Genomic DNA, 21115 nt, shown 5'->3' with positions numbered 1-21115 from the left:
GTTTATAGCACATATTCTATTGTTTCTTGTCCCCATGGCACTGGGTAGACTTTACCTCTGTAATTTGGACTTGTTGAGCATAGTAACAGCCACTTACGTTTACTTATACTTTACAAAGCACATTCATATTCATTTGTTCATCTGATCTTACTTAAAATGTTGTGAGATAAGCATTATTATTATTCATGCATTTCAAATGAAGAAACTGAGGCTCATAGAGGTCTAGTAAGTTGCACATAGCAGACTAATGGAAGAGGCAAACTCAAACTCAGACCCCTTGACTTATTTAAAGCTTTACCCCCACACCACATGTCTTTCTCTTCAAGGATAGATGGCTGTCCTGAGCTTCCCATCTGAGGTTCCTCAGGTGCCTCCCTTCCTAGACTACAGCTTTTCAGAACTCCTTCCCACCCTTCACTCATGGGCTTGGGTAGAGCTAGATGTGCAGGGCAGCCCTGACCCTTGTTCCAGCTTAGTCTCCAGGTAGATCTGAGACCTGGGCAAATCACCGTAGCCCTATTCCTTGGTTTCCTTGTTTATAAAATGAAAGGAATGAAACACTTAGCCCCTATATTTCTTTTCATTTTAAACAGTTGTGGTTACCTTCTGGAGGGTATCTCAATCCTTGAGGCCAACTCTGAAGGTGAAGATTCTGTCTATAGTAACAAGCAGCATACTGATCATAGTAGATCAGCATTGATCTACTTCTGCTGATACAAGGGAACCATCTCCCTAGGGCAGCAGTCAAAATTCCAGCCCCTGGCTCTGACCCTAGAACCTGATCTCCAACCTTGAGAACCCAAGGCCAGTTTCTATTCTTAGCAGTTTCTACAGTGACACCTTCTGGCCACTGCAGGACCAGGGCTGAATGGAGACAAGATGCCAGCTCCATCCAGGTCCTCTCTGCTCTCTCCCTCCACCAATGTTTCCAGCCAGAAGAAACATAAATTGAATTATGCATTTCAGCTTTCTTGCATTTTATTCTGTGGTTCTGCTCTCATTTTCTTAATGCAGATGTATGGCATTTGTCCTCTGGCTGTAGTGGCTTGCACAAACATGCTCTCATTAGATTCTCAGATTTGACCAAAATCCATTTTTAAAAATTTATTATTTGATCCTCTGGCACTGCTGATTTTCTAAACACAAATCCCTAACATTGAAAGGTGGAATTTCCTAGAGGTTGGTTGAAAGCATAGTGCCTGATATACTCAATAATGTTTTAATAAATGAATCAGTTTGTTAATTAAATTTTTTAAGAGCAGGAAATACATCTGGAGATTATATTTATATTAAGAAAAAGTGATGGCACTTAATTTTATTTTTCAAGAGGACCAGTCAGCATGGTAGAAGGGAGATGAACTGGTACAACCTTGGCTGACAAGGGAGAATTCACTCTGTTTGAAAAGATTCTGTGGGTTTCTATCACCTCATACTCAGTAGTAATACATGAGTATCATTGGTTTTCGAACGCTTGCATCACAACATTACTTTGTTAATCATTTGTTTAAACATCTAAATAAATGCCTGAAACTCACTATATAAATTGCATGTTATTAAGGAGTAAGGCATAACTACTGTCATAATTTAATTACAAAGCTCCAAATTTAATTAGCCAAATACTAACCTTGTTCTTCTCCTTCATAGCACTTAGCACAATTATACTTAATTAATTATTTGTAATTATTGATGTAATCTCTGTGTCCCTAGATAAATTATAAGAATCAAGAAAGCAAGGGCCCGTGTTTCTATCTTTCTTACTTACCAGCAGGTAACCAATGCCTGGCACAGACCCTGGCACACCAGCAGGGGATTAGTAGATATTGGTTTCAAGGACTTCAGCTTTATCTGGACTTGTGGGAGAAATGAAAAGGATGTGAGAGGATTCCTGTCTGGACTTAGTGGACCCTAGAAGAAGCAGGAAGAGCAGCTCAATCCAGAGTTAAGAAATGAGCTGAGAAATCCTAGGACATGCCTACAGTTCTCAAGTGTCTGATTACAATACTTTACCCACTGCTTCCCCACAGTGAAGAATCCTTCCTTTCTTTCATATCTTCCACATTCCTTCCCTCCTTTTCCATTTTCCTATTGTCTTTCCTTAGTTTTTCTTTGCTTCTTTCATCCTTTCTTCTCTATCATTCCTTCTACATTGATAGATTACCTCCTACACAACTGTAACTGTGATCGGTCCTCGACGTGAAAGGATGGCCAAAACAGGGACTTTGTCCTTCAGAACCTCTCAGAATTTGGTTTAGTGTCAGAAACCAAATGTCCTTTTCTCCAAGACCTTTGCATTCCCTCCTAACCACCTAGATTGAAGAAGTGAGGTTCAATGTCCCAACTGGGAAGGGACAACATAACCTGGGTGAGTGAGTTCATCCTAATGGGTCTCTCCAGTGACAGGCAGACCCAGGCTGGACTCTTTATCTTATTTGGGGCTGCCTACCTGCTGACCCTGCTGGGCAATGGGCTCATCCTGCTCCTGATCTGGCTGGACGTGAGACTCCACCTGCCCATGTATTTCTTCCTCTGCAACCTCTCACTTGTGGACATCTGCTACACCTCCAGCAGGGTCCCTCAGATGCTGGTGCACTGCACCAGCAAAGAAAGACCATCTCCTTTGCCCGATGTGGGACCCAGCTCTTTTTCTCCCTGGCCCTCGGAGGGACCGAGTTTTTGTTGCTGGCCGCAATGGCCTATGACCGCTACGTGGCTGTTTGCGACCCCCTGTGTTACATAGCAGTGATGAGCCCAAGGCTCTGCATGGCACTGGCAGCTGTCTCTTGGCTAGTGGGCCTGGCTAATTCTGCTATGGAGACGGCACTGACCATGCACCTGCCCACCTGTGGGCACAACGTGCTGAACCATGTGGCCTGTGAGACACTGGCACTGGTCAGGTCGGCCTGCGTGGACATCACCTTCAATCAGGTGGTCATAGTGGCCTCCAGTGTGGTGGTGCTGCTGGTGCCCTGCTGCCTGGTCTCGCTGTCCTACACCCTCATTGTAGTTGCCGTCCTGCAGATCCACTCCACCCAGGGGCACCGCAAGGCCTTTGGGACCTGTGCCTCCCACCTCACTGTGGTCTCCATATCCTATGGGATGGCCCTCTTTACCTACATGCAGCCTCGCTCCATGGCCTCAGCTGAGCAGGAAAAGGTGATGGTACTCTCTTATGCTGTGGTGACCCCCATGTTGAATCCTTTCATCTACAGTCTGCGGAACAAGGATGTGAAGGCAGCTCTGAGTCGAGCTCTGATGAGGAGCTCTGAATTAAAACATTAGAGAGTGGTTTGAGTAACAAGAAGGCCTCACTCTGAAAACAGTGGGCATTGGACTGTGCTCTCCAGTATAACGTGTGTACGCATGTGTGTGTATGTGTGTGCATCTGTGTGTGTGTGCATGTGTATGTGTGTGTGTAAGGGAACAGGTGGGAGGACCACAATTTGTACTACTCTCTTTTGAGGTAATAGAAAAATGGATTTTATCCGGACTTTATCTTTGGCCCATGCCTTATTCCCAATGTGAATTACAACAACTTAAAAATACATGCACCCTACAGAAAGTGAAATGAAATATATTCATTTTCTTAAATGAAAGAAAGGGGGAGGGAGGAGAAAAGATATACCAGTGTATATGAATTAGGAAGAAAGATTAAATTAGAAGTCAGGGCAGTGCACAAAATGTATTCCAAGAAAGTCTATTTCTTGGTAAAAATATTTAAATATATGTTTCTGTAGTAAGTGAGAAAAGGAGGGAAAAAAGCTTTAAGTTACAAAATTCGCTGTGCCCATAGGATCAAACAGGCCTTAGGTAAGAGGTGCAAAGGCCACCCTAGTAACTCACACATGGTCCAGCCCAGCTCACTAGGGTGGGGGATTCACCCATGGGTTTGGAGCCAAAGTCACAGTAATGATCTCTCAGCTCTGATGAGTGTGACTGGGCTGTGTGCCAGTCACATGAGCGTCCCTCTGCTTGTTTCCCTTTCAAATTTGCAGTGGTGGCAAATTGCTGGCCAGAAAGTCAGATATGCGGGACCTCAAACAAACATCTTGTATGCAATCAGGTCTAAGAATATCCTCTTGTGAACATTGAGGGCTGTGCTCAGAGCTCATCCTGACTGGGAGACCATGCTATGCACGATTAGAGTGAGCCATGGGATTCAGCAAAGAAAGAATCCGGCTTCCTCATTGGGGATAGTTTTGTTCCACTCTTTTAATACACAAATTTTTGAGCTCTAAAATCCTAGATCATAAAGCAAAGCCATGATGATTTTATTCTGAAAAATGTTTAAAATAATCTTTTAAAAATCAGACTAAAACATCTCCTTAACTAAATATTATGAATCTCTGGTTTGTCTTGACCACAAAAGAAAACAAACAAACCAAAACAAGCAAAGAAACAACAACAACGAAAAAACATAAACTGAAAACAGTTCAAACTTTTACTCAATCTGTTGCAACAAAGCTAAAGGGCTGAAAAACAGGAAATGAAGAGCACCCTTTAAAACTGCTATTAAAACTTTTTAATTGAGGTAAGGCTCACATATCACATGATTCACAGTTTTTGCCATTTTAAAGCAGATAATTCATTGACATCTAGTCAATGAATCCACAGTGTTGTGCAACCTCATCTCTATCTGCCCCAAAACACGTTCAACACCCCAAAAGGATACCCCACACTCAGTAAGCAGTCCTGACCACCACTAACCTGGTTTCTGTCTCTATGGATTTGCCAGTTTGGGACATTTCATATAAAGGGAATCATGCAGTATGTGGCCTTTTGTGTCTAACTTCTCACTTAGCATAATGTTTTTAAGGTCTTTCCATATTGTAGTATGTAGTAGTGCTTCGCTTCTTTTTATAGTTGAATAATATTCCATTGTGTGGATATAACACATTTGTTTATTCGATCATCAGATAGCGGACATTTGAATTGTTTCTACCTTTTTGCTATTGTGAATAGTGCTACTATGAACATTCATGTACAAATTTTTGTTTGAATACCTGTTTTCAATTCTTTTGAATATTTACCCAGGAGTGGAAGCACTGGGTCATATGATAATTGTAAGTTCAACTTTTTTAAGAAACTGCCAAACTGTTCTCCACCACAGCTGAACCATTTTACATTCCCACCAGCGAAGAACCAGCAATGAACAAGGATTCCAATTTCTTCACAGCCTCACCAATACTTACTATTTCAGTTCTGTTGATTGTGGCTGGTCTTTCTCATGCTATTCTCATGGTAGTTAATAAGTCTCACAAGATCTGATGGGTTTATCAGGGGTTTCTGCTTTTACTTCTTCCTCATTTTTTGCTGCTGCCATGTAAGAAGTGCCTTTCGCCTCCTGCCATGATTCTGAGGCTTCCCCAGCCATGTGGAACTGTAGGTCCAATTAAACCTCTTTTTCTTCCCAGTCTCGGGTATGTCTTTATCAGCAGCATGAAAATGAACTAATACACCCCAAAAAGTCAATTTCACTATACGTTAATTTAAAGGGCACTTACCAATCAATAGGAAAATGGAGAACATGCAAACAGAAAAATGGAGAAGTAAAATAAATACAAAGGTAGAACTTGTTCTATAACATTTAGCATATGAAAAAATATTTAGTCTCAGCAACAAAGAAATACAAACTAAAATAATAAACTATATTAAGCTATTTAATTCACAAAGAAAATATTGACAGTGGATACTTTAATTATACTTATCAAAAGCCTTAGACTAGCTTGAACACCATAGCGCCATAGCAAGACCCTGTCTCTAAAAATAAAAATTTTTAAAATTAGCCTGCTGGGTGGCTATGGTGGATGGATTATGAGGTCAAGAGATCGAGACCATCCTGGCCAACATGGTGAAACCCTGTCTTTACTAAAAATACAAAAATTAGCTGGGTGTGGTGGCACATGCCTGTGGTCCCAGCTCCTCAAGAGGCTGAGGCATGAGAATGACTTGAACCCAGGAGGCAGAGATTGCAGTGACCTGAGATTGCGCCATTGCACTCCAGCCTGACGACAGAGCGAGACTTAGTTAAAAAAAAAAAATTAGCCGGGTGTGGTAGTGCACTTGCAGTCCCAGCTACTCAGGAGACTGAGAAGGGGGACTGCCTGACTCGGGAGTTCAAACTACAGTCAGCTGCGGTCATGCCACTGAGCTTGAGCCAGGGCTGCATAGCTAGACCCTGACTCAAAAATAATCTTAAAAAAAATTCATGCTCTGACTTTTAGTTAAAATGGCATCTGATCCCCCAGAAAGATCTTAACTCTAATACAACCTATGTGATAACACCAAGAAAGATAAACACTTGTAAAAATGTTTAAAATATAATCATCCAGTGAATTACTATATCCTGAGAGGACTTTTTCCTAATATCCAAATAATTCACAGAAACCCAAGGATATTACTAATCAAAGAACATAACACTTGTCCTTCTGCTTTGGACTTCTGCTTTTTGAGGCAGCTGAGACATTGCTCTGCAGACTGTATCCCATAAACAACTGGAGAAAGCAATTCTCAAGAGACTAAAAGAGCAGTCAAGAATAAGAGAAGAGGGGTGATACTATAACATGGTGCTTTTAATTATTCTGAGAAAGACCATACTACCAGAAGGTAGAAGAGGCAAGAGTTGGTCTTGGGTATTTCTTTTACTTTTTTTTTTTTTTTTTTTTGAGACAGACTCTCACTCTGTCACCCAGGCTAGAGTGCAGTGGCTAGATCTCAGCTCACTGCAAGCTCCGCCTCCCGAGTTCACGCCATTCTCCTGCCTCAGCCTCCTGAGTAGCTGGGACTACAGGCGCCCGCCACTGCACCCGGCTAATTTTTTGTATTTTTAGTAGAGACAGGGTTTCACCGTGTTGGCCAGGATGGTCTCGATCTCCTGACCTCGTGATCCACCCACCTCAGCCTCCCAAAGCGCTGGGATTACAGGCATGAGCTACCGCGCCCGGCTAAACAGGACGTTCTTATTGCTGAAATCTTTTTTAAAAAATCAGTAAGATGGTTGAAAGATAAAGTAAAAGAACTCTCTAAGAATATAGAATAATCGATTTTGAAAAATAATACAGGCCTTCTACTCCCAGACGTGAAGAAGTAACAGGACAGAATTACCCAGCTACCACAAGCAACTAGAAGACTGGAAAACAGTTTAAAAACATTGTTTTCAGATATGAAAAAAACAGCACAAAACTGTGATTACTGTGAGAAGGAAAAATAATGAGGTGATTCTTACAATCACCCAGATTTTCTGCCAGGAGGCAATATCCAGATTGTAGCACAAAGAGAGAATTTAAACAGACCTGGAAATCTTGCTCAGTGAAGGATGCGGAGATTAGAGGGAAAAATAAGCTACACAGGAAAATGGTTCCAGAAATCAGTCTTTGAGTCCTTGGCTAAACACCAATCCGTATGTGAGTAGTGTGAAACCCTGTAAGACTGAGAAAAAAACAATCTCCAAAGAAAGAAAAAATGCTGGAGTGCTATAAAACAAACAATTCCCAGAACTCCTACGGGGCCAGGATTCATTTTAGCACTCTTTGGCCAGAGTGAAGAAACATTACTGAATATACAAAGCACTCCATATGAGTTGCAAAGATGCTATGTCTTAGAAGTTGAGCAAAATTAGTAGCCCTAGAAAAAGACTACCATAGACCTACCCTAAATTTGCTTTTAAAAAAATCAAAAGCATCAAACTAATTTACAAGTAACTGTCAGAAAAAGTCTAAAATGCTTCAATAGAAAACAACAAAACCAAGTATTAAATAACTTAAGATTTCTAATTTACAACATTCAGTAAAAAATTACTAGACCTTAAAAAATCAGGAAAATAAGATTCATAACCTGGAACAGATTGGTCAACAAACACAGGCCTAGAAACAGAAGAAACTAAACAAGACTTGTAAAGATGAAAAATAAAATACGTAAAATTTAAATTTCACTAGATGGAATTAACAATAGTTTAGGCACTGTAAAATAAAATAATAGTAAGCTTGACCTCCTGAATGTATAAGCATCTAACAGCAGAGCTTCAAAATATATGCAGCAAAAAAAGGACAAAAATTTAAAAAGGTATCAGGCCAGGCCCCATGGCTCATGCCTGTGATCCCAGCACTTTCGGAGGCCAAAGCAGGTGTATCTCTTGAGCTTAAGAGTTCGAAACCAGCCTGGGCAACATAGTGAGACACTGCCTCTACAAAATATTAAAAAATTAGCCCAGCATGGTGGTGCGTGCCTGTGGTCCCAGCTACTCCAAAGGCTGAGGTGGGAGGATTGCTTGAGCCTGGGGGGCAGAGGTTGCAGTGAGCTGTGATTGTGCCACGCACCATAGCCTACATGTCAGAGCCAGATTCTGTCTAAAATTAAAAATAAAAAAATACACAATTCGAGTAGAATAATTCAACACTTGCCTCTCAGTAAATGAACAAGTAGACAGAAAATCCGTAAGGATACAGAGGATATAGAAGACTTGAACAATGCTATCAACCAACAGGACCTAGCTGACATTTATAGAACACTCCATCCAACGTCAGCAGAATACACATCCATTTCAAGTGCACATGGAGCATTCATCAGGACTGATAATCCAGTGGGCCATGAAGCAAATCTCAAGAAATTTTAAAAGACTGAAATCATGCAGACTATGTCCTCTAATCACAATAGAATTAAATTTGAAATTAATGCCAGAAAGATAACTGGAAGATCTCACAAATATTTAGATATTAAACACTACTTGTTTGGTTAACCCATTGGCCAAAGCAAAAATGAAAAGGGAAATTGGAAAATCTTTTGAACTAAATAAAAATTAAAACACAATACTGTCTGTCAAAATTTGTGGTATGTCTTTTCAACAAACAGTGCTAAAACATTTGTATATTCATAAAGGGGGAAAATGAACCTCAATCCTTACCTCACTTCATATACAAAATTAACATGAAATGGATAAGAAACCTAAATGTAAGAGGTAAAACCATAAAGCTTCTAGAAAAACAAGAAAATCTTTGTGATCTTAGGATGGCAAAGATTTCTTGAGGTACACATAAAATCATGAACCATAAATGAAAAAAATTGTATACAATCCCATAAAGTATATTTCAATATATGGATGATTGTACTATATATTACCGACCTAATATTAACATTGATTACTTCTGGTAAAATATATAATGGAGAGAAGAATGAAGAAGGATGGAGGCATTTTATTTTCCTTAAATTTTTGTGTACTGTTTATAATTTTTTAAAATAAGATTCTACTACTTTCATAAAAATAAGAATAAACTTTTAAAATATATGTTCTATAGAATGTGCTGGCTGACACTTCTTTCAGAATGAGATCTCAGCACAAAGGAATACAAGCCCTGGGAACAGATAAGGTGGGGGCCAATAAGGGAAATGATTTTCTGAGGATTCCCACCCCTGTTTCCCTCACAAATTATAGTTCTTTGGCTTCCTCCACCACCTAGATGAGAGGATGAATTTTAAGAAGCCACTACTCAGTGTGATGTTCAGTCAGTCAGTTAGTCCCCCAACTCTAGATATCAGGCTCAGTTTAGAAACTAGAAAAACATACAATAAAAAGAGAAAACGCCCTCTCTACCTTTCAGTTAGTTAGAAGTGAGAAAAGAGAAGCAAAGGAGTCTGACTTGGTAGAGATTTTTTTCCAGCTCTAGCTCCTGGCTGCAGAAAAAGTAGAAAGTCCAGGTGTGTGAGATTCATACCCTTACTAAAACTATGGGGTGGGTGTTTCCCTTTTGCAGATAAAACTAAAAGAGGAAAACTGATTTGGTGAACTGGACCTCCAGGCCACTGGACATTGCCAAGCACTCTTCAACCTGGTTTCCCACAAAGTCTGGTGTCAGTCCAAGGCCTCCCACTGGACCCCCTGGAATGACGTCCCAAACACTAAGCCTTTGTTGACATCCTCCTCCCCACCCATAAGTTAAACCTGTCCTGTGCTACCCTCACTAGCCACTGTGACACATTCCCCATGCCCATGAGTGATCACCCAGTGGGATGTCGCAGGAAGAAAATGGGTCTTGTGATCCTCAGATTCCAGATCAGTTCCAGTCCTGCCCCTAACTAGCCAATAACCCTGAGTCAATCACCCTTGCTCTCTGAGCCTCAGTTTCCTCATTTCTTGAGGACCTTCCATAAGGTCCCTCTCTTAATGCATGGGGATTACAATTTGAGACGAAATTTGGGTGAAGACACAGAGCCAAACCACATCATATGGTAAAGGAAGTAGGTACAAATGTAAAGAGGTAGCATGAAAGAGTTCTTTTATGTTGATGGAATAGTTCTGTATCTTGATTATAATTACACAAATCTCTAACTAGGATAAAATTGAATAGAACTACACACACAAACACACAAATGTAAGTTTTTAAAATAGTAAAAATTGAATAAGTTCTGTAGACTAACAGTAATGTAGCAATGTCAGTTTTCTAGTTTTGTTATCATACTACAGCTATATAAAATGTCACCACTGGGGGAAGCTGGATGAAGATTTATGCTATTTTTACAACTTCATGTGAGTCTATCGTTATTTCAAAATAAAAGAGTTTTTAAAACTAACATTAGAATTCAGAAAAAATAAAATAAAAAACACTGGGAGTAGGGAATTGCTTTGCTGCTTATATCACAAATAAAGAGCTAATTCCTCTAAGATATAAAGAGTTCCTCAAAACCAATAAGAAAAAGGCCAAAAGCCAAACCCAAAAAAGATAGACTGTCCACAGTAAATAAACATAAATGGCTCTAAACATATAAAATAATTATAAACACTCACTCATAGTAAGAGTCATGCAAATGACAGCTAATGTTTTTTAACCTAACAGGTTGGCAAAAACAGAAAGTGTGAAAAAAGTTCTCTAATAAATTGCTGGTGGGAAAGTAAATTGATGCAAACCAATAAAGGGTGATATCTGTCAGAATTAGAAATGCACATTCCATTCAACTCAGTAATTCCATTTCATGAGACTTTTCCCATAGTTAGTTTGCACATGTGGAAAATTACATATGCAGAAGATTATTCATTATAGCATTATTATAACAACAAAAAACAGGAAGTAACCTAAATGACCACAAACACATGGCTAGTTAAAGAAATTGTGGCACATCAGTGCAAAAAATTTTACAAGTGAGGAAATACTATGCATATCCACTTACATAGCTCTCCAAGATATGTTATAAGGTGAAAAGAGCAAGGGGCAGGACAATGTGTGTATTCTGCAACCATTGTATGGAAAGATGGAGACATTATAAGTTATTTGATTGGTAGCTAGTTAGGTACTAGTATAGAATATACCAGTGCATAAGTTAGTTGACTGGTTCATTAGGTATTAGTGGCTTTCTGATAGAATAAAATATCTCTACAAGGATAGACATAAAACTGGTAAGAATGCCTCAGGACGGAACAGATAAGAGGGAGATTTTCTATACATACTCTTCAATAGGTTTTGAATTTTCAGCCATGAAAATATATTAGGTATTTTTAAAAATAAATGCTTAAATTAAAAATGTAGAGCCAGGTGCCCAAAGATTATTGTTCATGAGTGTTCATCCACTCATCAGTACATCCCCTAATCAAAGTCTTCACTCTTAGAGGAAATTACAATTTCTCCCTATCAGGGATTCAGCTGCAAGCTTGTCTCTGAAATTTGCACATTGATGCCCTTTAGCAAAAACGTTTAAGCTATCTTAGAGGCACTCATCTCTAAATAAAATGTTTTCCAAAAGTATTTCTAAAATCATTTGCATAGTAATTGGAGCAAGTTATTTTTAAAACAGTATTTAAACGTAAAATTTTGAACAGGGTGGTTCTTTTTAAAACAATATTTAAGTAGTTTTTAGATACAAACTAATGAATTTTTTTTAAGACGGTCTCACTCTGTTGCCCAGGCTGGAGTACAGTGATCACAGCTCACCGCAGCCTCTATCTCCTGAGCTCAAGTGATCCTCCCACCTCAGACTCACGAGTAGCTGGGACCACAGGTGCACACCACCACACCTGGCTGATTTTTTTGAATTTTTAGTGGAGAGGAGGTCTCGCTATCTTGCCCAGGCTGCTCTTGAACTCCTGAGCTCGAGCAGTCTGCCTGACTCAGCTTCCCAAAGTGTTGGGATTACGGACGTCACCACTCCCAGTCCAGTGAAATTCCTGAGTCTGTTTTTCAGATTGAAAAGTACATGTTTATTCAATGCAGATGTGACTCTGTGACATATGCTTGAGGAAGACAAGAAAGTCACAATGTGTCTTTTTCTAAAGGAATGATAAACAAGAAAAAAGTCTGGCTACTACTCAGACTTCAGAGAAGAGAAAATTGAAGTCAGAAATGTTAATGAGAAAAGAAACTGGGTGGTGTAAAGAAACCTTCCAGTAAACTTAATAAAATTAAAACCAGATTATCCAAGTTTGTGTGGAGACAAAGTATCTTCATGCAGTAAAGGGCAATCAGAACTCACAGCCCAGGCCACTGCCTGCCACAACTGCCTGTCCCTTGGGGCTCTCGTAGTAACCATGACATTTGTCCTCAAGAAGGCTGTCGCTTCACTATCCACATCTCAGTTCAGCCATAGAGGCAAATATTTGCTCTTAACTTTCTGAAAGGCAGTGGAGATGCGATGGCACAGTTAATCAACACTTTTAATCGAAGCCTTCCAGATAACAAAGGGGTACAAACGTAAGGAGTAGCACGACATCATATTAACATATTCTGAACTTCTGGGCAATACTGGCTCTCTGGGATCCATGGGACTGCATCTTTATAACATTCCAAAGAAGGGAAGCATGCTCAGAGAGTTCCCAGATTTCCTTGTCTCCTCCGCTTCCCAGAGGAGGAGCCCCATAACAGTACCCAGTATTCATCTACCTATGAAAACACCTCCATGTCAGTGGGCCACAGCTCTGCCATCCTCACCTTTCTTTTCCGGGGGTCTAGATAAGGAAACCATGCCATCTAGGCCACCCAGAAGCCCCTTGCCAACAACAGGAGCTGCGAGAACACGCTTCGAAGCTTGAGGTTGCTGAAGATGAGGATGAAGGGATGGACAGATATGCACAGGTAGACTGCAATTTGCCATGGCCAGTAAAAGTCGTTCTGCATGGAGATAAATTTTGCGGCATCAATGATCAGGGACAGAAAGGACAGAGCATAAAGAATGAGGAAGGAGATGAGGGACTTCAGAGCTCTGGTGTGAGCCTGGGTGCTGGGGTCCTGCAGGCTGTGCCCGTTGTGCTGCATTCTCTGAGTATGCCTCCTCAGAGAATTAATTAACAGCATAATTGAGACCAGAAAAACAGAAAAAGGAATTGACCAGATGACCAGTTTCAGGGATGGGAAATAGTATGTTTCTATCCTTGTATTCCACTTGTAGGTCATGTTCCCAGAAAATTTTCTAATTAAAAATTCTTGATATACAGGGTAGTTCACCCAAAAAAACAGCAGGGTTATGATGAAGGAGATCAGGACAGAGCCCAACAGGAGCCAGGGCACCCACCCTGGGAACCTCCACTTCAGCCACAGGAAGGTGGAGTGTGTGATGTTAGCAATCTTCACACAGAACAGGACACTGAGCCAGCTGCAAAACCAGAAGGTGGCTGAGTTCAGGAAGTGCCAGTGTAGATGGAAGAACTGTCGGCCGAGACCCCCAGAGTACTCGACCTTCTGGGCAGAGTAGTAGAAGTTGTGCACCGTCCCAACCAACTGCAGGCAGAAGCGGGAGGCACCCAAGCTAATGAGGATCATATCCAAGGGCAGCAACCTGCCATATCGCAGCCACTCCCTGCCCAGCACCAGCACAATGAAGCCATTCGCTGCAATCCCCAGAAGACTCAGCAGGCTAAAGAGCAACACGAAGAAGGCCGTCAGTGCTGCTTGCATTCTGACCCCTCCTGCAGTCCCCACTTGAGTGCCTTGGTCCCTGGCCTCCTCCCTGCCCCTAGCCACAGTCCTGTTTTTAATCTTTCCTAGGAGTGCTAAAGAGTGGTCAGGCTCTGCATCTGAACCAGAGCTCACTTAGAGAGGAGGATGCTCAGGCTAAAGAGGAGAGGTGTGCTCTTGGCTCAGACAGGATGCAAATTTATCCTAGTGTCAGTTACCACTAGGCCTGCAAATTACCCTAATTTGCCTTGTCCAGTTTTCCTGCATGCTGCCATGGTTAGTATCAATGTCTATGATTTTTCTGGGTCTCTGTGACTGAGTTCCATCCTCAGGCCGTATGAACACTCCTCTTCCCATCAGAACATTCTTAAGACTTTAAATATAGAGACAAGTATAGGAGATACACAGGAAAAATAGTGACATCAAAGAATTCTGTCTCAGTACTTCCCTGTTACACATCCATGCTTACCTTACTGCCTTTGCCCACAAATCGCTTCAAAATCAAACACTTCGTCTACCTCTCCATCCAGATCTCTACTTAGATCCTCCATGAATCCTGAGATGTAAATGATAATGGTGTAAACGGGTTTTGTATTTCCAGTGAGAGAATTCATTATCATGTGGTTGAGGGGCCTTCCGAAGCAGGACTGAGAGCCCCTGTTTCTTCCTGGGTGTTGGTGGGAGACTGCTCTCTGGTCCTAGAGGCCTCTCACAGTCTCTGCCAGGTAAGCTGTTTCAGCATGGCCACTCACGTCAAGTCAGCAGTCTCTAAAGGGAGTCTGCTAACAAGATGGGGTCTTAAATAACATAACACAATCATTGGAGTGACAGCCTATCACCTTTGCCATAGTCTATTGGCTAGAAGCAAGTCACTGTCACCAACAACACTCAAAAGAAGGAGGTTACACAAAGGCCCAACACCAGGGTTGAGGGACAGGCAGGGCCACTTTACAGTCTGTCTGCCACCCTGAGATACCCGAGGCATATGTGAGTCCTGTCTAACACCAACATCAAAAAGAAGTCCCTATGAGACCATGTTGAAAGTAAAAATATTTTCTTTTAAAATATATCTATCACCTCACATAATTCCTGTTTTCAATTTCTTCATGTGTAGTGAGAACACTTAAGATCTACCCTCTCATGAAAGTTCAAGTATACAGTGCAGTATTGTTTACTATACTCATACTACCATACCTTAGGTTTCCAAAGCATGTTCACTTAGCATAACTGAAACTTCATACCCCTTGACCAATATCTCCCCATTTCCCCTTCCAGAACCCTGGCAACCACCAATCTACTCTCTACTTCTGTGGGTTTGTTTTTTCAGATTCCACATGTAAGTGAGATCGTACAATATATGTATTTCTGTCTCTGGAGCATTTCACATAGCATAATGTCCTCCAGTTCCATCTACGTTGTTGCAAATGGCAGAATCGCCTTTTCTAAGACTGAATCATATTCCATTGTGTATGCACACCACATTTTCTTTGTTCATTCATCTGTTAATGGGCTTTTAGATTGTTTCCATGTCTTGGCTATTGTGAATAATTTTCAATGAACATGGGAGTGCAGATATCTCTTCAAAATACTAGTTTCATTTCCTTTGCATATACACCTAAAAGTGGAATTACTGGATAAGGTAGGTCTGTTTTTAATTTTCTGAGAAATCTTTATAGTGTTTTCCATAATTTATATTCCTGTCAACAGACTGAAAGAGCTGCTTTTCTCTGTATTTTTGCCAACACTTGTTATCCTTCATCTTTTTGGTAACAGCCATTCTAACACATGTAAGATGATACCTCATTGTGGTTTTGATTTGCATTTCTCAGGTGATTTGTGATATTAAACATATTTTCATGAACGATTTTTGTCTTCTTTTGAGAGATGTTATTCAGGTCCTTTGCCCATTTTAAAATCAGGTTATTTATGTTTTTTGTTTATTTCTGCACTACAGTTGAATAAGTTCCTTGTATTTTTATTATTTGTATTTATTTATTTCAGACGGGGTCTCACTCTGCCACCCAGGCTGGAGCGCAGTGGCACCATTACAGCTCACTGGAGCCTCAAGGTAGGAAGGATGATCCAATCTTCCCCACCTCAGCCTTCCAGGTATCTGGGACTAAAGGCATGCACTGCCACACCCGGTTAATTTTTTTTATTTTTTGTACAGACAGAGTCTCACTATGTTGCTCAGGCTAGTCTCAAACTACTGGGCTCATGCAATCTTTCTGCCTTGGCCTCCCAAAATGTCAAGATTACAGGCGTGAGCCAGGGCACCCAGCCAAAGTTCCTTATATATTTTGGAAATTAACACCTATTAGATATGTTGTTTACAAATATTTTCTCCCAATTTCCATTCTGCTGGTTGTTTTCTTGGCTTTGCAGCTTTTTATTTTGATGCAATCCCATTTGTCTATGTTTATTTAGCTGAATTTTTGCCTGTGCTTTAGGTGTAGTTTTCTATAAGTCATTACCCAAACCAGTGTCAAGAAGCTCTTTTCCTATGTGTCCTTCTAAGAGTTTTATGATTTCAGGTCTTGCATTTAAATATTTAATCTATTTTGATTTAACTTTGCATGTAGTGTAAGAAGAGGATGAAATTTCATTCTTCTGCATGTGGATACCCAGTTTTCCCAACCTCATTTATTGAGGAGACTATCTTTTCCCCATTGTGTATTCTTGGCACTTTGTCAAAAATCAATTGACCACAGAAGTGTAGTTTTATACACGGGCTTTCAATCCTACTCCATTGGTCAATGTGTCTGTTTTTTTGCCAGAACCATGCTGTTTTGATTGCTATCATTTTGTAATATATTTTGAAATACAGTAGTGTGATACATACAGCTGTGTTCTTTTTGGTCAAGATGGCTTTAGTTATTCAGGGTCCTTTGTGATTCCACATGAATTTTAGGATTTTCTTTCTATTTCTGTGAAGAGTGACATTGGAATTTTTATAGAAGTTACATGAAATCTGTAGATTTGGATAATTTGGATATTTTGACAATATTTATTTTTCCATTCCATGAACATAAGATATCTTTCCATTTATTTGTGTCCTCTTCAATTTCTTTCATCAGTGTTTTATGTTTTATGCTCTTTTCCTACTTCCTTGAGGTGTAAAATTAGGTTGTTTATTTGAGATCTTTCTTCTTTTAATGTATTTATCACTACAAATTTCCCTCTAGTACTGCATTCCTATAAGTGCTGGTATGTAGTGTTTTTGTTTTCATTTGTCTTGAAATCCTTCTCAAATTACCTTTTGATTCTTTGATTCAATGATTATTCAAAATGTGTTTAGTTTCCATGTATTTCTGAATGTTTTTGTTGTCTTACTGTTAATGACTTCTAGTTTAATTTTTGTGGTCAGACCAGATAGTTGGAATAATTTCAATCTCCTTAAATGTGTTAAGGCTTATTTTGTGACCTAGGACGGGATCTATCCTGGAGAATGTTGCATGTGCCCTTGAGAAGAATGGGTGTTCTGCTGCTATTGGGTGAAAAGGTCCACTTAGTCTGCAGTGTTGTTCGGGTAAACTGCTTATTCATTTTTGTCTGAATGTTCTATTCATTATGTTAAGTCAGTTATTGAAGTCTCCTACTATTATTATATTGCTGTCAATATTGTCTGAACTGTCAATATTTGTTTTGTATATTTATATATTCTCAAGTTGGGCACATATATTTTTATCATTGTCTTATCTTCCTGTTGAGTTGGCCCTTTTATTATTATGTAATGACTTATTTGTCTCTAGAGACAGTTTTTTAGTTAAATTCTATTTTGTTGGGTATAACTACTCCTGATTTCTTTTGTTTACTATTTGCATGAAAATCTTTTCTATCCCTTCAGTTTCATCTTACGTGTGTCTTAAAGTGATCTCTTACAGACAGCATATCTCTGGATCTTGTTGTTTTTAATTTATTTGCCACTCTTTGCCTTTCGATTGGGTAGTTTAATCCATTTTTATTTAAAGTAATTATTGGTAGCTGAGGACCCTTTTGCAATAATATCAAATATAGCAATAATTGTTATTTGTTTTGCAGTTGTTTTGTTCCTCTCTTCCTCTTTTGCTGTCTTGCTTTGTCATTTGATGATTTTTGTAGTGATTTCCTTTAACTCTTCAATTTTTATGTTCCCTTTATATTTGTGTATCTTTTATAGGTTTTTTTCTTTGTGGGTAACTCGAGGTTTACATAAAATACCTTGTAGATATAATTGTCTATTTTATGTTAACAACTTAACTTCAATTGCATATTAAAATTCTACATTTTTACTTTCCCCCACCCACACTTTGTGCTTTTGTAGTCAGTTTGCTTCTTTTTATATTGTGTATCCATTATCAAATTTTTATCTTTTAACTATTATATTAGAATTAAAAGTAATTTCTATACCATTATTACAGTGTTACATTATTCTGTATTTGTCTACATATTTGCCCTTAGTGGTGGTATCTATGCTTTCATATATTTTTTCATTGCTGTGTAGCAGGTTTTTATTTCAATTTGAAGAACTCCTTTAAGCATTTATTGTAAGGCAGATCTGGTGGTGATGAACCTTCGCAGTTTGTATTTGTCTGAGAAAGACTTTACCTCTTCTGCATTTAAAAAAAACAAAATAGTCTTGTGGGATGTAGTACTCTTAGTTGGAATTTTTCTCCAATATATGGAACATATCATCCAACTCTCTTCTGGCTTGCAAGACCTTTGCTAAGAAAATTGTTGATAGTTTTATGGGTGTACTGTTAAGTATGATAGCTTTTCTCTTGCTTCTTTCAAAATTCTCTTTGTCCTTGACTTTTAACAATTTGATTATAATTTGTCTTCATGTAGTCTTCTCTGGGTGGAAATTTTTTAGTGTTCTTCAAGTTTTGTGAATCCAGATGTCTATTTCCCTCCCAAGATTTGGGGTGTTTTCAGCCATTATTTACTTAAATATGTTTTCTGTCACCTCTCTCTTTCTCTCTATTTTCCTACCAAGACTACCATTGTGTATATATTTGTTTACCTGATGGTGTTCCATAAATCTCATAGGTTTTCTTTACTCTTTTTCATTCCTTTTTTCTATTTTCTTCTATGATTGGATAATTTCAAATGATCTGTCTTCCAGTTTGCAGATTTCTGCTTGATTAAGTGTTGGGGAAACCAGCCCCACACTACCCAGCGGGTACTCCGAGTCCGGCAGAGACAAAGGAGTTAGAAAGAGACAGAATAAGCGTTTTAAAGGTGGGTCCAGGGGACTGGAGCGTTGGAGGCTTGCTCACGGCCCAGAGCTCTCGGGCTCCACCCAATTTATTGGTTTACAAGCTCTTTGTTCTTAGGGTAGATGGGAGGGGGAGGAAGGGATGAGGAAAAGGATGAATCAGTGAAGGAGAACTTGTGAGTCATTCGATAAGATGTATAGCAGTGGCGGCTTCTGTGAATTTCCTTGAGCAAAGGTGTGTGTCTAAACTACTTAAGATCTTTAACTTATCAGGACTGAAACTGGTGGGAGCAGGTTTCAGGAGGAGCCAAGCTGTTTGATTATACTCCACTGCTTCAAGGGAGTGTTATCTCCCTGAGCAACCTGTGGAATGCCGCTGAGCGTTATGCTCTCGGGGCATAAAGACATGAAGGCAATAAGGAGACTTTTCTCGGGCAGCCCATGGGTGTCTCACACAGGGGAGACCAATTCAACTGGCACCCCAGAAACTCTCTTTCCCACAATTACGTCTGCTGTTGAGGCTGTCCATTGCATTTTTCATTTCATTAATTATATTCTTCAGCTCTAGAATTCTTGTATGGTTCTTTTTTATGATTCCTGGATCTTTTTTGAACTTGTTTATGTGTTATTTTCCTGATATTGTTGCATTGTCTGTGTTATCTTGTGGCTCACTGAGCTTCTTTCAAATAATTATTTTGAATTCTCTGTCAGGTAGGTTGTATATATCCAATTATTTGAGGTTGGTTACTGGAAATTTATTGTGTTTCTTTTGTGATGTCATGTTTCCTTGGTTTTTTATGTTCCTTTTAGCCTCAGGTTGATGACTGCACACTTGAAGGAGCAGTAACCTTTTCTAAACTCTAAAAACTGGCTTTGGTGGAGAAAGAACTTTATATATGGGTGGGTTTGAGGGTGCTGGCAGGGTGGCATGCAGCGGCTCCCACATTGGGGTAGAAGAAATGGTAGCTCCAACTTCAAGGTAGTATGGTAAATTTGGGCCCAGTGTGAGAGAGGAGTATCACATGGTATGGACTCCGGATAGCTCCATCAGCTGGAATCATCATTGGCAAAAACTGCAACGGTCCTTAGTGGGAAAAGCTGCAGGTGTCTGTGGTTACAACAAAGGCTGCTGGAGTCCTCAGTGTTGAAGGTTGTTGAGATCCTCCTTCCCTCCTTTACCCCAATGGGGAAAGATTGCAGCTAAATGTATCCCTTTTGGCACTGAGCCGTGCCAAACAGTGGGAAGGACTGACAAGGTAAAATGATTCCTGTGCTTTTCTATGTAGCCATCCTAGTCTTTTATGCTCCATTGGGTTGCTGCATTTTCTTCATAGTATTCCAGAGCCCTCCTATTTTCATCAGTGGATAGTTGTTAAATTGTCGTTTCATGGGGAGACAAAAGTTGGGACTCCCGGTTGACCATCTTGCTCTAAAAATATTTTCTTGAATAAAAATACATTCAAGTTGATCCATATTTAAATGTTTTCTATTTAATACTTCAAATATATTCTTTCTCCATATTTGTTTAAAACTATTTTAAGGTTAGTGTATCCTTTTGAACTGTGCCTTTGTTATAAGAGTCAACTGAGAAAACTAGTCATACAAATAATGTGAAAGTTGTTACTACCACAGCAGAAACGTATAGTCGTATTAAAATTAATAATACATAGTAAAAATAAAAAAGAGAGATCTCATTGACGTTGAGTGTATATGCATTTTTCTCACTTCAGGTGTATGTTTCTTTTACTGTTTTCATTCATTCACTCATTCATTCATTCATAAAATATTTATTGAGCATTTATATTTGCTGGACTCTATTCTAGTTACTAGGCAGACAGGATCCCAGCTTTCATGGAACTTGCAGTCCGATAGAAGGTAAGTGACAATAAGCAACAACAAAAGCAAGATACTTTCAGATAATAATCAATTCTATGAAGACAATAGAAGGGTTAGATTTCTGGAGACTGGCTGGAGAAGAAAATGTTGCCCCCATACACCTGAGGGCTGAAAGCAGCTTTCTCAGGAGGTGACATGTGGGTTGAGGAGCCCA

The 21115-nt window shown here is 39.6% G+C and overlaps 1 protein-coding gene, 1 long non-coding RNA gene and 1 pseudogene across 2 annotated transcripts in view, besides 1 other annotated feature; 1 reads left to right on the top strand and 2 right to left on the bottom strand.

Moving 5' to 3' along the window:
- EPHA1-AS1 (EPHA1 antisense RNA 1) overlaps positions 1-21115 on the bottom strand; it is a 115637-nt gene that overhangs the window by 31709 nt on the left and 62813 nt on the right. The window lies entirely within an intron of this gene.
- OR2R1P (olfactory receptor family 2 subfamily R member 1, pseudogene) lies at positions 2332-3279 on the top strand (annotated as a pseudogene).
- TAS2R41 (taste 2 receptor member 41) lies at positions 12945-13868 on the bottom strand. The gene has a single exon (NM_176883.2). The coding sequence runs from the start codon at positions 13866-13868 to the stop codon at positions 12945-12947; it is 924 nt and encodes a 307-aa protein (NP_795364.2).
- Positions 18449-19648: an enhancer, noted in NCBI's record as "P300/CBP strongly-dependent group 1 enhancer chr7:143169186-143170385 (GRCh37/hg19 assembly coordinates)". NCBI's record gives its function as "activates an origin of replication core promoter dependent on BRD2, BRD4, P300/CBP, MED14 and CDK7 cofactors, with strong dependence on P300/CBP, by STARR-seq in HCT116 cells {active_cell/tissue: HCT116}" and the evidence as "EXISTENCE:reporter gene assay evidence [ECO:0000049][PMID:35650434]".

Source organism: Homo sapiens, chromosome 7 (genome assembly GCF_000001405.40).
Source record: "Homo sapiens chromosome 7, GRCh38.p14 Primary Assembly".
NCBI lineage: Eukaryota > Metazoa > Chordata > Mammalia > Primates > Hominidae > Homo > Homo sapiens.
Note: the sequence above shows the minus strand (reverse complement) of the source record. Positions and strands in the feature narration are given on the sequence as shown.